Below are 16,678 nucleotides of genomic sequence, written 5' to 3' on the forward strand. Positions count from 1 at the left end.
ATGAGGTATCGTAACTAACTGTGCAATGGTTCTCTCCTCACCGAGGACTGTGAGATCCTAGAGAACAGGGAATGGGTATTAGTCATCACATCCCCAACATTAAGGACAGTGATTTTGCCCCCCAGGGGATATCTGGCCATGTCTGGAGACTTTTTGGTTGTCATAACTAGATGGGGGTACTACTAATACCAACTAAGTGGAGGCCAGGGATGCTGTTCAACAGCCTCCAATGCACAGGACAGCCTGCATAACCAAAAGTTATCTGGCCCCAAACCGTCAATAGAAATCTTAATCTAGGACAAAGACTACAAACTTAACGCTGCTTAATGAATGATAAAGTGAATATATTTTACTGAATGAAACTCTGCCCTTAAGTAAGGTCCACGTGACAATTGTTGGATCATGGGAAAGAATTCAAGTAAATGTACTCCTTCTTTAGAACAAGTAATGGCATAAGCCTAGTCTTTTATTGTGGATTTAAGTTTGGCTCCAGTTAACAAGGTATTTCACGTTATCAACTGAGCAACTAGGAATAATATACCGAAGGCTATTCTCTACATAGAGTAAGAATTTCTAGACTAAAATAAAGTCAGAATGTCAGAAATAAAACAGGTGTTAAAAATCATCCAACTTGAGCTACTGATTTTATAAATGAACACTCCAGGTCCTGCATGATAAAGTGACTCCCCAAGGTCACCTAGCTAGGAGTGACAGGGCCTGGGGCCAGTGAAAAGAGAGCTTGTGTTATGACTTCACCAGAAATGAATATGAGACTACTGGGTCCATCTCTGGGATCCTAACAGAGATTAGGTCAGGGCTGGGGGTTTGGGAGAGGAGAAGAGAGAAATAGAGATAGCTGGGAGGTAGGCTTTGTTACATGTCTTGGTTTCTTTCCTGAACAGTCGGACCTTTCCTCACATCTCATGGCTACTGAATTTGAGGACTGCCTAGTGCCAAAGTCTGTACCTTGATACCTTAGATCACACACAATTCAAACTTTTCCACCTTCTGGGGTCTCTCACTGGCAACACTATTAAAATTTTGGGCAAGACGATTCTTGTTTGCAGGACTGACTCTTTGGAATACCTGGCCTTTGCTCACTAAATATCTGTGGCATCTCCAGGCATGATTATTAGAAAACAAGCGAGGATATTTTCAAATGCCACCTAGGAGGGTGGTACTGCCTCATTTTCCTGTCCCTTCAATTGAGGATCACCAAAGACCAGTTGGCAGGGTTGCATTTGTGTTGAGCAAACTGCATCTTGGTCAGCACAAGAAAGCAATCAGAATGATGGATGAGAATGGTCTTAATGACCACCTTCACCAAAATGACCTGTGTTGTCTGTTAAAAATAAAATTCTCAGGCCCCACTCTCAGGGAGTAGGATGCAAGAATATACATTTTTAATAGTCTCGCCAGGTGATTCTCATGCACACTAAAAGTTTAGAACCTCTGCCTTAGCAGTAGCACTCAACCCTGGCTCATATGAGAATTAATGTTTAAAAATGCCATTGTTCAAGCCCTACTGTCAGAGATCCTCAGTTTCAACTACAGTGAAGCCCTAGCCTTGCATGTTTTAAAACCTGCCTAGGTAATTCTAATATTCATCTAAAGCTAAGAAACACTACCATTATGAAATCTTGCTAGTTAAGAGGAAACCACAAATTAATCCCCTCACTTTCGGGTTAAATGCAAGAAACTTAATGTTTTCAACCTTGGCTGCACCCTTAGTGAGATTTCTAAAATCGCAGTGCCACACCCCATGCCATTGATATCAGAATCTTCTGAACTAGGACCCAGGCTTCAGTGTTTTTTAAAGCTCCCAGTTGACTCTAATGTGCAGCCAAGCTTGAGAACCATGGATTCAGAATATTTTCCTAAATTCTCCCATAAACCTCTGCTCTTGGCTTTTAGCTTTCCTCCTATCCCCTAGTTCAAAAGTTTGAGGTTGTGGGGGTCAGGGCAAGAATAATAAAGGGAGAAAGGACAAGATTCAATCCAATCCAGTTCTTTTCTCCACTTAATCCCTGGCTACCACTGACTCGGCACTCTGGGAGTAAAGAGCAGTGGAGAAAGCTCTAGACCTATTGGTGTATATTTCCAAGAGGAAGATCCTTGGACCAGCATCAAGTTGGCTTTTTATCTTGATTCTTCCCTGAGGTTTCTAAATATTGTTCCAGCATAGGAATTTCAGCTTTTATTCTTTTCCAACTTTTCATTTATATGGCATGCATGGGTCACAGAAGCAATGGAAAGTTGGAAACCATTGCCTTCTAATTAGCAGATGTCTCAGTGGCTAACATTATTTGCCAGTAGCAGTGCCAGCGCAGCGCTGGGAAAGTTAATTACTGTCGACAGTCCTCGAGCCTGTTTTCATAACTGGTAATGACTGTTAATATGTCACCACTGAAGTTAGAGATTCAGAAAAGTCTTTTGTCCTAGGACTATTAAATGTCATGGAAGAATAACCCCCAAATTTGCCTTTGGGTAGATAAAGTTCAATGGGACTGGCTGGGCGCGGTGGCTCACGTCTGTAATCTCAGCACTTTGGGAGGCCAAGGTGGGTGGGTCACGAGGTCAGGAGTTCAAGACCAGCATGGTGAAACCCCAGCTCTACTAAAAATACAAAAAAAATTAGCGGGGCACGGGGGCGCATGTCTGTAATCCCACCTACTTGGGAGGCTGAGGCAGGAGAATCGCTTGAACCCAGGAGGCAGAGGTTGCAGTGAGCCAAGATCGTGCCGTTGCACTCCAGCCTGGGCAACAGAACAAGACTCCAACTCAACAACAACAATAAAAAAGTTCACTGTGACCTTTTTAAAAGAAATGTTAAATCTGACCCCAGTTGCTAAAGGCAGAAGAATAACACGAGATTTGAGACCAAGCCAGTTCCTGTTTGACTATTTTGACCCCATTTATAGTCATGTCAAATGTCCCCCATTTCTGCTGGCTCCAGCCCCATCTTGTTGCTGCTTCCTTGAGATGTGAGGAACAATCATTCTTTCTTCTGTTCTAGGCCAGGTCCCAGATGCTGACAATAAAACTGTCTAAGTCTGGAGTGTTATGGCTCCTAGTGTTAGGTTCTTTCAACACACACCACACACACATGTTTTATGTAAGGTGCATCATTTGCAATGGGCTGGTGGACCCTGATATCGAGTTGGGGGTCACCAGTACATGTTCCCCTTCCCTAATGGTCAGTAGTCCTGCCCTGCCACATGGCCTTAGTTAGGACCAGATTTGACCATCAGATAGTTAAATAAATCAGAACTGCAAATCCATCAAGATCCTTTCTCCTTATGTGAGCTTATGTCTGCAAATAGATATGTGGTGAGGATGGGGGGAAGAACACAGCCTGACAACATACAACAATAGCATCCATGCCTCAAATCAAAAATGCCCTCCAGTGGGTGGATACTTGCCTGAAAACTGCAAGCCCCAAAAGAACCACTCAAATAGTTCTACCCAGATTTCCAGACATTTCCCAAGTGAAACAGCCTCTTAGAACTTAAAATGGGAACGTCAGAGACATTAATATCTCATTCCTACCACCTACCGCTTAATCAGTGTGTTGCTAAGCCCCTTACATATGAAATCTTTCTCAGTCTTCACACAACCCACAGAGGGGGACAAGATATCACCATCCGTACTTAACAGAGGAAGAAATGCGCTGAAGATTACACAATTAGGACGTGTAAGGATATGATTCAGGGTGTGTCTGGATTCAGAACTGCACACTGCACCTGCTGTGCTTTATTGCATTAGCTGCTGCTGCTGCTCTGACCTGGGCTGACGTTGCAGTGAGTCTGGAGAAACCCTTTGCCATGTTTCTGTGTTTTCATCACAGTTTCTGTCACTACTTTCTTGACCTTATCACTCTTACAGTCCTGGTCCTATTCTGTCTGTGATGGGAGAGACCTTTGCCAACCAGCCTCTCTGCTCATTAATTAGATCTCAAACATGGTGTCTTTGTGTTCTAGTCTTTCTATGGTGCCCTTGTATTATGAACATAAAAGTTAAGCTTCCAGATCTCTCACAGGTACCCCATTTTCTCCTCCCTGTGCTTCTCTGAACTTGTTTCCCTAACCACAAACAGAACAAGTTCTCTAGAGGTTGAGTCAGAAGAATTTTTGTGGTAAAGAAGACATTGAAAGGGGGTTGGTCTACTAAATGTCTTGTGTTAGGGTTCTCCAGAGAAACAGAGAAATATATATATATTTCTATATATATGTATATATATTTTTTATATGTGTGTGTATATATATATGTGTGTGTGTGTATATATATATATATGGAGATTGTTATGTGAATTAACTCATGCAATTACAGAAGCCAAGAAGTCCCACAATATGCCACTGCAAGCTGGAGACCCAGGATAGGTGTCATTCCGTTAGAGTCCTAAGGCCTGAGAACTGTCATGGGAAGACTTTGGATTCAGCCATGACTCAAGTGTACCAGTGGACTTTTCAGTTACATGAGAAAATGCATTGTCTTTCTCTTTAAGCAGTTGGGTTCATTTTCTGTCACTTGGAGGTGAAGGTTCCTAAAGACTACAGCATTCTTCCCATGGATCATTGGATGGCCTCATGCAAAAGTGTTGCCCGGACACTGTGTGGGACAGATGAACCCAAAAGCATTTCTTCCCTAATATGCACCCCAACACCCAGAATCTCATCTATGCATGAGAAACAGCTTTGTAAATAGTAAACTAGGTGTCAACATAAAGTCACATTCCTATAACTCAGTGTGAATTGACCTTCTTGATATGAGAGCTGAGTGAAGACAGAGAATGTATGAGGCTTTGGGTACAGGTTCCTGAGGCGTGCTCAAATGTACGTTAAGAGAAAAGACTGGAATAGGGAATGAGAGAAGGAATTGATGGATGTTAAAATGAACATATTAATTTTGCCTGTGGGCATGTTTCCATTAATTGGCTTTTGGATCTGAACCAAGAATAGCAGAATTGAAAACCTAATAAAAACCAAACCCATGAAGAGAAGAAAAATTTTCATAATAGCCCAAGTGAGAGTAATGACGTGAGCTAATCCAATTTGAAGTATAAACAAAGAAATTTCTTCACGCAAAGAGACTGACTTATTTTGTTTCAGAACTAAATACCACGCAGTAGAGGTTAGGTCAGGGAATCTGGCCTAAATATATGGGGGGGTCAGGGAGATGGAGGTTAGTCATTCCATTGGAGGACAGAAGAAAAAGGAACAAGAAGTTCTTTTATAGTGACTGACCATAAAGTTTTGAAAAAAGAGGTATTCAAATAGCACTTTAATCCACACTGCATGTTATGAGAGGCTATGGGGAGATGTACAATTTAAAAGCTCACTAAAAAATGGCAAATTAAATTTCATTTTCTACTTACGGTTGATAGACGTGACTTTTCAAGGTCAGGCATATTAATTGGCTTTCAGATATTAAGCACTGTAGAAAGAGGGGACATATTTAAACTTTCCTTTAAAATAGTGGTTTCCATCATTTTTCATGTTATTATACACAAAGAAAGTGACAATTTTACGGCACTACGGTAAATAGACTAGGTCATTTGAGGCAGAGATTGCTGGCCTGGGCCACCCCAGGTCCACCTAGGCTCCCCAAAGACTGAGGAATACCTATTTTGTATACAAGTGAGCTGCATCCACTAGTTAAGAAGCCAAATCAAAGACTGTCTATGAGGCAAAACATATACTGCAGCCATTTGGGGGAAAGAACAAAGCACTGAACTAGAGGGCAAAGACCAACATTTTGGTTCTAGCTCTGCCAAGTGTAGGACATTGGACTAGGCACTTAACTGCAGTAAGCCTCAGTCTGCTTGTGTACAAAACAGAGTAAAAGATTTCTTGCATTTCCTACTTTACAAGGTCAACATGAGGATCAAGAATACCATGTTCATAAACATCATGTACAACCATAGAGTCCTATAGAAATGTGTGGCCTGATGATGATAATGAGTATGACATTTTTCTTCCTAGTCCTACCTCCATTTAGACCACCCTTCCTTTCAAGAGTCCCCTGCAATGGACAGGAGTTGACACCAAGGAGAACAATACAGCTGCTAAATCTCAAGTGGCTAGGAGCACAGAGTGTGGGAAGCTATTCTGCAGCTGTGTTTTTGAGTTGGGCCAAAGAGCTAGTGGGGTTTTGGCTTCCCAAGTACCTTTGTTGAAACTCCCTGGGGAATTTTGCTTTATGAAATTTCCAGCAATTGGAGATCCCACTGGGTTGGTGAATAGAAGCCTAAAGGGCTCCCTGTTGGATGAAAAAATGTGTTTGAAGTCTGCTGGGAAGAGCTGTAGGAGGGAGCTGAGGGTTCTTCCATGACTCCTACTGTGCATTGACAGAAGCTGTCCCTACCACTGTTGATTGCCAATTATTTTTGTCTCCAGAGCCAAAGAAAATATATTTGAATTTGACCCATCTTTCACTAGGATCTACAGATGGTGAAATATTAATGAACAGGTGGGTTGCACAATATTCCAAGATTGCGTTAGAATTGATTTTTGTAGGCTAAATTATTAACACCAGAGTTGCTGACATATATTCTCATATGATTAGCAAACCCAGAAGCCTTAATATCAACACAGAATACATTCAGAACCATCAAACACAACATCTACTTTGCTGGGAACAGAATACTAGGTAAAGGAATTGAGATCTCACACAACACTCCTCTGAAAATAGGGACAGCTAATTTTGTAATGGATTGCCAGCAAAAGCTGTGACAATGCCTACTCTGGAAGTCTCTAAATTTCTTTTCAACCTGAGAAGGGTGTTCCATGATATTTACTGGAGTAAGAAGTGATGGAGGAGGTAGAATAGTTCTGGAAGTCAGGTCTCTAAATAGAACAAATCTTGGGATCCTCCAAGTTTCAGTCTATGCATGGAATTATGTTTAAAGAGGCAATATCTAGTAGCTAAATAATAGCTAAAATTGTTCCAATCATGACTTGCACCTCTCAAAGATCATTATTCAAGTAATGCTTCTATCCTTTCCTCCAGCTCAGTGTTTCCTGAACTTCCCCTGCACTGATGCTCTTGCTTACCTAAGCCTCTTCTTCAGCCTCTTCTCCATCCCTGGACAATTCAATGCACTGCATGGACCTTGCTTAGATTCTGATTTGAGCAAACCAACTTTTCTTCTTCTCCTTCTCCTTCCTCCTGCCTCCTTCCTTCTTCTTTCAGATAGCATCTCTCTCTGTTGCCCAGGCTGAATGGAGTGGTGCAATGACAACTCACTGCAGCCTCAACCTCCTGGGCTCAAGTGATTCTCCCACGTCAACCTCCCCCAGTAGCTTGTACTACAGGCACTCAACACCGTGCCTGGCTAATTTTTGTATTTTTTGTAGAGACGGAGTTTCACCATGTTGCCTGGGCTGGTCTCAAACTTCTGAGCTCAAAAGTGATCTGCCTGCCTCGGCCTCCCAAAGTGCTGGGATTACAGGCATGAGCCACCACACCTGGCCTCAAACCATCGTCAATGCAACACTTTGAAGACAATGAGGGAAATCTGAATTTGGATAGTGTATTAGATGATACCAATAACATATTATTAGTTTTGATAGGTGTGATTAATGGTATTGTGTTTATGTAAGAAAACACCACTATTTTTAGCAATCAACACTTAGATACAGAAAGCTAAAATGACACAATTCTGGGATTCGGTTATCATACATCAGCCAAAATAAAGGAGGAAGGAAGGAAAAATGTACAGAAGTAAAAGTAGGAAAATACTGATAATTCTGGAATTTAAGTGATTGATGTTTGAAGTCCAGTACTATATTCTCTATTTTTGTGTATGGTTGAAATTTTTCCTATTTCCTGGGAAAATTTTCCTTGAAAAACTTTTTAAAGAATTTTAAAACTTCTTTTCAAAAGAGAAAAAGAAGGACTGGGGTGGTGGATCATGCCTGTAATCCCAACACTTTGGGAGGCCAAGGCAGGCAGATCACTTGAGGCCAGGAGTTCGAGACCAGCCTGGCCAACATGGTGAAACCCCATCTCTATTAAAAATGCAAAAATTATCCAGGCAAGTTTCCACACACCTGAAGTCCCAGAGAATCTCTTGAACCCAGGAGCCGGAGGTTGCAATGAGCTGAGATGGCGCCACTGCACTCCAGCCTGGGTGACAGAGCGAGAACTTGTCTCAAAAAAAAAAAAAAAAAAAGGGAGAAAGAGAAAAGCAAATGCAAATATCTTCAAACGTCATAAGAAAAGGCAAAAGTGAATCCGATAAATATATTTTAAAACAATAATAAAAGAGGCATTTTGCTGACAGATAAATTCATGAAACAAGACTGACTTTTTTGAATGCCATTCATAGAACTGCCAGGTCAGCTGTGTAGTGTGAGGTATATTTCAATGCAAAATACTGAAATTATAAAAACAGGATTATGCACACAAATGTTTCAAGCCTTTATAATTTTTTTAAGTCCAAATGGCATAGGTCCATTTATAAAATATTTTCTGAATTTATATTATGATTTAAACTAGCAATATCCTATTAATTAACTTATTTAAAATTCATAAGGAGACAAGTTATTTAAAAAAAAAAAACACTCTTGAACTGAGTAAAAAATAGCACGAAGTGAGGTTCAGCTCTGGGGAGAAGGGAAGTTGTGCTAAAACTTTTCAAAATGGAATTTAACCTCAGACTTTTAAAGCATCACTTTCTTTAAGGATTCACGGCTTTCCTCCCACACTGGTCTGGGGCCAGTGTCTGGAGTAAAGTATTGCTACTCCTAAATGAGATTTTAGAAAGTAGCATAGTTTCTGAAAGGAGCAGCCACTGGAAACCAAAAACTTTCTCAGGGTACTCAAACGGTTTGAAGAGAACTGATATTTGAAAACGGAAATCCTTCCATTTGTGACAACATGGACAAACCTGGAGAACATTATGCTAAGTGAGATAAACCAGTCACAGCAAGACAAATACTGCCTGATCTTTTGTATATGTGGAATCTAAAATAGTTACTCTCCTAGAAGCAGAGAGTAGAATGGTGGTTGTCAGGGCTGGGGTATACAGGAAATGAGGAGATGTTGGTCAAAGGGTACAAAGCTTCAGCCATGCAAGAGGAGTTAGTTCTGGAGACCTAATATACAGCATAGTAACGACAGTTAACAATACCGTATTGTAGACTTGAAATTTGCTACAAGGGTAGATCTTAAGTGTTCTCACCACAAAAGAAAAGAGGCAGCTATGTGAGGTGATGGGTAAGTCAACTAGTTTGATTGTGGTGATCATTTTCCAATGTATACATATATCAAAACATCAAGTCATATACCTTAAATACATGCAATTTCTATTTGTCAGTTATGCCCCAATAAAGCTGAAATTTTTTTTTTAAATGAGAACTGATGTTTGCATCCAGTTGCTGCTAAAGGCACAAATTTTCTTTAAAAACTATTGAATGATTTTCCAGCTCTTACAGACATACTGGGAAGAAAAAAGTTAAAAACTATTTGAGAAATTTGGATTGAACTACCTCATCCTGTATGAGGTAAGGCCAATGTGCAATCTTGCATTGCTAATCACTCAAGCAGAGTGCTCAGAAGCTGGGAAACAGGCTGCGGTTAAGAACATTGCTTAAGGAAGAATAATTAGATCCTTTCCGTGTCTCATAGCCACAATTTTTTTCCAGCTTTGGCTGTTGTTTGAGCAAGACCTTGTGTATCAAACATTGATCTAGCCAAGTGGCTTAGTGGAGAATTTGCTCAAATTGGTTTTTTAGTATCTTGTTGGCAGGAGGGGAAATGACTGCTTGAACGTTTCAGCCTTAATGCTGACATGTGGTGACTTGAAGCCAGGTGAATGAAGGTTCCTCCAGCTAGAGAGGTAAGATGAACATGCCGGACCAGGAAGAAAGCAGGTCATCATGTTAGACAGGTGCAATTATGTGCAGAGACTATAAAAGAAGAGAAAAAGACATTTAGTCATCAGAGAGCAGCCATTCAAGTAAGACCTTGAAGGAAAGGGAGGGTGAATCAAACAGAAAATATAATGTAAGCAAACGCACAGAGGCTATACTGTGGAGAGGATGTGGGGAAGAGGGAAGTGGTCCATTTGACTGGAACAGAGGGTAAATTTAAGGCAGTAGGAGGTCATAAGACTTATGGAAAATTTGGAATGCCAAAATGGGACTGTTATGTGTTAGGTTGATACTGGGTGGGGGCACTGAGGATTTTTAAAACGTGATCAGGGCTGCCTTGTTGAAGGTAAACCTAGCGGTGGTAAGTCAAATGAAATGGAGTCATGAGAGAACAGGTGGTACTAATCACTACCAGTACTGAGTGCTTTGCAGATGCTACTTCATATACATAATCTGATTTAATTCTGATAGCAAGAACCGTTATTAGCCCACTTTACAGATGATAAAATTGAGGCTTAGGGTGATTAAACAACTTGCTCAAATTCACACAGCTAAAGCAGAAGAGGCAGTGTTTTAATCTAGACACAGGTACCTGCCCTTAATCACTATGCTTGACAGCTTCTTAAGCTAGAATGGGTGGTAGGTGACCGGGGTCTGAATTAGGAATTTGGAGGTAGTAATGGAAAAGAGGGATCAAATTCTTAGAGGTAGGATAGGCAAGACTTCACCAACAGGAGCCTACGGAGGTCTGTGATTTGGTGGCTGCGTGAAAAAGAAGAATGATACTGTTACTAACCTAAATAAAGAAACCAGAAGAAAGACTTGGCATCGATTAAAAGATTATTAATATGGTTTTAGTTATATTGACTTTGAAATGCCATGAGTAGATCCAGTGAAAATGTCCATCCAGCCATCGGAAATGTAGTTTGGTTGCTAAAGAGGGGAGATGGAGCTAGAAAGAGAAGCTGAGGCATCACGTGCAAGCAATAGAGGGGCAAATACGCAAGGGAGGGTGGCAGAAGAAAATCATCCCAGGTGTTTCTTTTCTTCTTACTCAGCTCGGAATAGAGATGACTTCTGAGTTTTTATCTACTCCCATTCAGGAATGAAATGGAGAAATGTAGGTCAAAATTTTACAAAATGGTCATGTAGAATAATTCTCTGACTTCCCATCTCTGGGAGGAAGAGAGGCAGCTTTAGTAGAAGTGTGAAGATTCTAAGCAAAATTTAAGTAAAATTATTAATTTTTTTAGAGATGGAGTCTTGCTATGTTCCCCGGGCTGAATTCAAACTCTGGGCTCATGAGATCCTCTCACCTCAGCCAAGTATCTGGAACTGCAGGTGTGCCTCACCACTCCTGGCTGTCTAACTAAAATTATGAAGGGCAACCCATTATCTCTTTACTTTCTCTTGCCCCAGAATAAGACAAGAATGCCGAGGCCTGGTCAGTATCCCAGGGTACCACCGCCAGTGCTGGCCAGAGCAGGCTCTGAGAGGCTAACACAGGCCACAGAGCCTAGGGCCTTGTTTTGGAGGGTGAGGTGAGGCTTAAAGCTGGTAGGATAGGCGCCCTCTGAGATTCGCCATCTGAGAAGTCAGTCAGTTCTTTATTAAACCATTCTAAACAACAGAAAGTGCAGTGGGTGGGCAAGATTCCACTGCTGAATTCTTCAGCAGGCCCTGCAAATGAATGACATGGTGTCAATGGGAGGGAAAGTGAAGCAATAAACACAGATGGTGTTTGTGCAATCTCATCTGGGTCAAGGAAATCACCTCATCACTCTTCTTTGATGGGCAGATTCCTATCTCTTAGTTTACCATTTTCCTTACTAATTCCCTCAGCTCCATCCAATGTGCATTCTTGTGTCAAATTGCATGTTCATGAGTATATTACATGTTCCTGTTGTGAGTATGCAGGGGTTACCATGGGATGACCCCTGTGCTATGAACTTGGAACCTCAAGAAATTAGATTGCCTTTTAAGAATGAATCAGAGAAGAAATACAGGAAACCACTTTAAATAACAAATGTGTTCCTAGGATAGCAAGATTTGACTGGACCCTGACTGACGAGATTACTATACCTAAAGAAAGAACGCATTCGTGAGAAGGAGAGTTCTGCTCAGTTATGAACAAAGCAACTGCATTCAATAAATATTTGTTGAGTACCTACTGTGTTCCAGCAGAGAGCTCGCATTCTAGCTGGGGAGACAGAAAACAAATAAGTGCATTTATAATTGGATGTCTGCTTGTGATATGTGTGTATCCCAGGCAGAGGGTCCACAGAACAAACAACAGCATCTAGTGTGGCTCGGAGATGTGCTCACTCAAGTTCTATGCCAGATTTGAGAAGCCTGCTTGACTCTAACATCCCAAATCTGCATTTCCAGCACTTGGGTGACATTTTGACCTACCTAATAGCTCTCGGGTTGATTTCTCCTGTGTGACTTTCATGAAGACATACATAGAGGAAAAAAAGCACATATCAAAAGTACTCAGGTCAATGAATTTTCCAAAGTGAGCACACCTATGTAGCCAGCACCCCAAATCCCTCCTTATAGCCCCTTTTACCACCCTTACCACTGAAATGTAACCACTATCCTGAGACCAGCACCATAGGTTTGTTTTGCCTTTTTCTGAACTTTATATAGATGGAAATATACAGTTCATACTCAATACATGCTGCATAGATTCTTTGATTCAATATTACATCTGTGGGATATATTCATGTTGTTGTTTGTATTGGTGTTTTGTTCTTTTTTCATTGTCAGATTTCATGGTATCACTACATCACAGTGTATTTTATTTAAATGGACATCAGGGTTATTTCCACTATGCCACTATTCTTTTAACAAACTATTTTTCTGCAGGAATCTGTTAGAAGTGGCTTCTGATGTTTGCAACTAAGAATCCTGCCTGATCCACATTTGTTTTAATTCTAAATTTGTATTGGGTTACCTAGGTTTTGTATTGATTAAGAAATCAAGTGAAAATTTCGGGGTTTTTGTAGAAATTCTTCTTTTTAAACTACGCTTTTGAAGACATAGACATATTTTTCATGAGCTATTTGCCAACGAAGATCTGCTTACTCTGTTTCAACAGTGAAGCCTAATGATAAAAAATAACATTCCATGTAGATAAAAGCTGTGACTTCCCAGCTTAAATACAGCACTTTCTGGAACTACAGCTATAACTTGTGTTCTCTTAGGTTGCTAAACAAGTTGGTTAGGAGCTTTTCTCCTCAGGGTTCAACCACATGACTGCTTCTGGGCAGTTCGAGTGGTTTTCATCCTCATTGCACAATAGCAGAGGTTTTGAGGTTGTGTTTTTCTCCACATTGCCCATTTCCCTGGCGGCCACTCTCAGGAGCTGTGAAGAGCTCAATTTAAAGACAGTCATATCAGTTATTCATCAATTACTGGGATCTTTTCATTTTTTAAGCATATCATATCAACACCCCTTTTGTAGGACTATAGCCTGTCTGAGCGGGGCTGTAGGAGAGAAGGGTATACCTCTCTGTCATTACATCATTTTCTTCTTTGTCCGGGCCATATCAATTGCCAATGCCTCATTCAAGGCCTGACTTTTGAGCAATGAGATGGACCAGCCAGCAGTCATTCCTCTCAGTGACTCAAGGAGACTGACATTTGTAATAACAAGGAGTTACTGAGCACTTGGTATGTATGCCAAGATTCTTAGTATGGACACCAGGGATCTGCAGAGCAAGCATGTCCATTTCATTAAAACCAATCTCTCCACTCGTGCTCTGGATACCATCCCCTTGTCCTTCCCAAAGACTTTCCTCCTGCAATAAACCCTTCTCTCCCTAACATGATCAATTTCTCTCTCCCTCCTGGATCATTTCCATGAGAAGGCAGATGTGTTCTGGTGCCTACTTTCCAAAAAAAAACATTCTCTCACATCATTGCTCCCTCCAGACACAATCCTATTTCTCAACTCTTTCACAGCATGCCTTCCTGCAAAGAATTGTCTGTAGTCACTGCTCCACTTCCTCACCTCCTTTTCTTAGCTCAGCCAACTCTGGTTAACTTCCTTCTCTCCATGCCCCTGAATCTGTTCATTTCAAGGTCATGAATAACCTCTTTTGCCAAACGCAGTGGCCACCACTGTGTCTTCATCTTATTCAACTTTCGAAAATATTTGACATAGTTGATCACTTCCTCATTCTTAAAGCTGTCTCCTCTCCCAGTTTCCATGACACCACTTTCTCCCCTTTTCCTCTGACCTCACTGGCTGCATTGTCTCAGGCCTTTTTGCTCGTTTCTCTTTCTCTGATCTCTCCTGGAATGACTCCAGGCTCTGTCCCAGATCTTCTTGTACTGTCCATCTATAAGCTCTTTGTAAGTGACTCATTCAGTCTCATGTCTCTAAATACCATCTACATACCGATGGCTCTCAAAATTAAAATTTCTGATCTTGATTTATCTGACCTATCCCCTAAGGTCAAGTTCTTATATCCTACTGACTTCTCTATATCACTACATGGGTGTCTAAGAAGTTTCTCAAATGTAGTATAGACAAAGGTCTTGGTTTCCCAATGTCCATCTTTGCCTCTCTCTGTTCTCCCTAGTAAACAGCAGCAATTTTCACCCATTGAAGGCAAACATTTAGAAGTCATCCTTAAGTTCTCTCTCCCTCACTTTCCCAAACGAATCATCGGCAAGTCCCGTTGGCAACAGTTTCATGTCAAGAGTTAATTTTAAGAATCTTTTATTCAATTTAAACTGACAATTTTTAAAAGTTTGGAAAGTGGGAGAGAAAACACCCATGTTTTCTCATAATCTTCATAATTATCATTTTAATAGCACATGCTGTATCATTGAGTAGACATATCCTAATTTACTTTACAGTCCCCCTAATGTTGTATCTTTGGAGTCTTCTCACATTTTATTTCTATAAACAATTTTCAATGAATGTCTGCATGCCTATATAGATGTTTTATTTTTGTTTTTAAAGTAGAGAAGCTGATTTTTGCTGTTGTTTTTGTTGCTGTATAAAAGATCACTGAGTGATTGCCTTAGTTATGCAACAATAGAGAAATAAGTGTCTATTATTCTGGTGTTCAGGTAAAGTAGAATTCTATCAAAATTGTCACAAAATTGTCTTTGATGAGAGCCATCATAGTGCAAAGTTGATGACTAAAAGGAGATGGTTAAGTTGTCTAAAGAGCAAGGCCATAGGAGAGAAGAAACTAATATTCAAAGCTTCCTCCCACAGTTCAAAGTTAGAGAAACCTGAGAGGGGTGTACTGGTATGACCACCCGAGATCCCATCGCTGAGAAAGATAATGGCCCTGGAGACAAAGACTGATGAAGAAAGACAGTATCCAGCTGTGATGCAGATGAAACATGCGGCATGGTTGCACTCACTATGCAGCCAAGGCTGGAAGCCACTCTGGATCCAGCCACTCTGGCACAGCGTTCTTGCTCTAGGAAGAACAACTGAACATGGCCACACAGGCCTCACAGCTGGCATATGGAGGCTGTTAATAAGCTGAGCTTGAGGCTTCAAAGGACTCTTGTAGCCTGTGCTGGATCTAGCAGTGACCAGTATGCCAGTGGCCATGGATGCCCAGGCCCATGTTCAGTAGTGAAGCAGGTGCTAGCAGCAGAAGCAATAGAAATGGAAACTGGGAGATCTGCTGTGGATGAATCTCATTATCTTCTTTCTCTGACCCTCTTTGGACTAAATAAACTCCCAGTATTCTTGACCAACAGAGGTAGGGTTGGAACAGAACCTCAAAAGTCATCATTAGACTTCCTACTAATAGGGCATTGGAAGTTCAAGCGACTAACTAGGAAACAGGTTAGTATTTGTACCCCTACACTGTGCAACAGATTACATACCATTTGCTCTATTTGGCATCCTTTCCTTAGGCTAGATTCCCAGAAGAAAGATTACTGATTCGAAGGGCATGAACATTTTTATGACTCTTGGCCTAAATTACTAGGCCAAGGTTTTTTCAAAGGGATGCACTAATTTTCACTATTTCCCCACACCCTTTCAGGTGATAAATAATTGACTTGATTTGTTTACACTGACGCCAAGAATTCTTGGGAAGAAGGATCAAAGTGAAAAGTGGTAGCCCATGGTGGGGAGGCCACACTCAGTGCAGTTGTGAAGTCAGCAGCATTTTTAAGCCCATTCATTGCCAGTAGCCCTGAGATGAGCATTCCCAAGCTGCTTCCCAGGTCCCTCCTCCACTCTCTCAGGGACATCCATTCTGTACCAGCCCCCTCAGATACTCATGCCCTTGCCCTCCCTTCTCCATGCTCATTAAAACCAGCTTAAGAGCAGATATGACATCAGTCACTTACCTTTTCGTGTGGCTCTAAATCAAAGTGTCACCTCTCCCAAGCACATGCTTGCATCTTAGCTCTGATTGAGGAATGAAAAGCTTTGTTCTCTGTTAAAAGAACTTTGAGCTTAGATGCCCCAGACTGAGAAATCCACCAAAAGCTGGACCTTTGACTTGAGCGGCAAAGGACCCCCATAGTCAGGCTGTGATTTGAGGAGCATCAAGAGGCCAGAGTTTCCAAGTTGGGACCCAGAAGGTGGGGTTGGCAGGGGGAGGGTAGGAGCAGCTGGAGACTCTGCTCTACCAGGGGAATACGGAGGTGGGGACCAATCCCAGGGTAAGGAATGAAAGTAGGAGCCCCAGAAGCTGAAAACATACTTCACCGATGTCAGCATTTTACCCAGAGCCATTCCAAGGTGACCATAACTCACTTAAAAGCCTGAAAGCTGTTTTATGCCAACTAATAAAGTGCAGTTTAATAAAAAA

The 16,678-nt window shown here is 41.3% G+C and overlaps 2 long non-coding RNA genes across 2 annotated transcripts in view; one reads left to right on the forward strand and one right to left on the reverse strand.

The window, feature by feature from the left end:
• LOC107985871 (uncharacterized) overlaps positions 1 to 7,216 on the reverse strand; it is a 62,078-nt gene extending 54,862 nt beyond the window's left edge. The window contains exon 1 of the long non-coding RNA XR_001739413.2: positions 5,375 to 7,216. This is a non-coding gene — a long non-coding RNA (uncharacterized LOC107985871). The remainder of the gene's footprint in view (positions 1 to 5,374) is intronic.
• Positions 1 to 16,678, forward strand: part of CYP1B1-AS1 (CYP1B1 antisense RNA 1) — a 50,751-nt gene extending 34,073 nt beyond the window's left edge. Inside the window, exon 3 of the long non-coding RNA NR_027252.1 lies at positions 15,112 to 16,678. This is a non-coding gene — a long non-coding RNA (CYP1B1 antisense RNA 1). The remainder of the gene's footprint in view (positions 1 to 15,111) is intronic.

The sequence above is a fragment of the Homo sapiens genome, chromosome 2 (assembly GCF_000001405.40).
Source record: "Homo sapiens chromosome 2, GRCh38.p14 Primary Assembly".
In the NCBI taxonomy this organism is placed as follows: domain Eukaryota; kingdom Metazoa; phylum Chordata; class Mammalia; order Primates; family Hominidae; genus Homo; species Homo sapiens.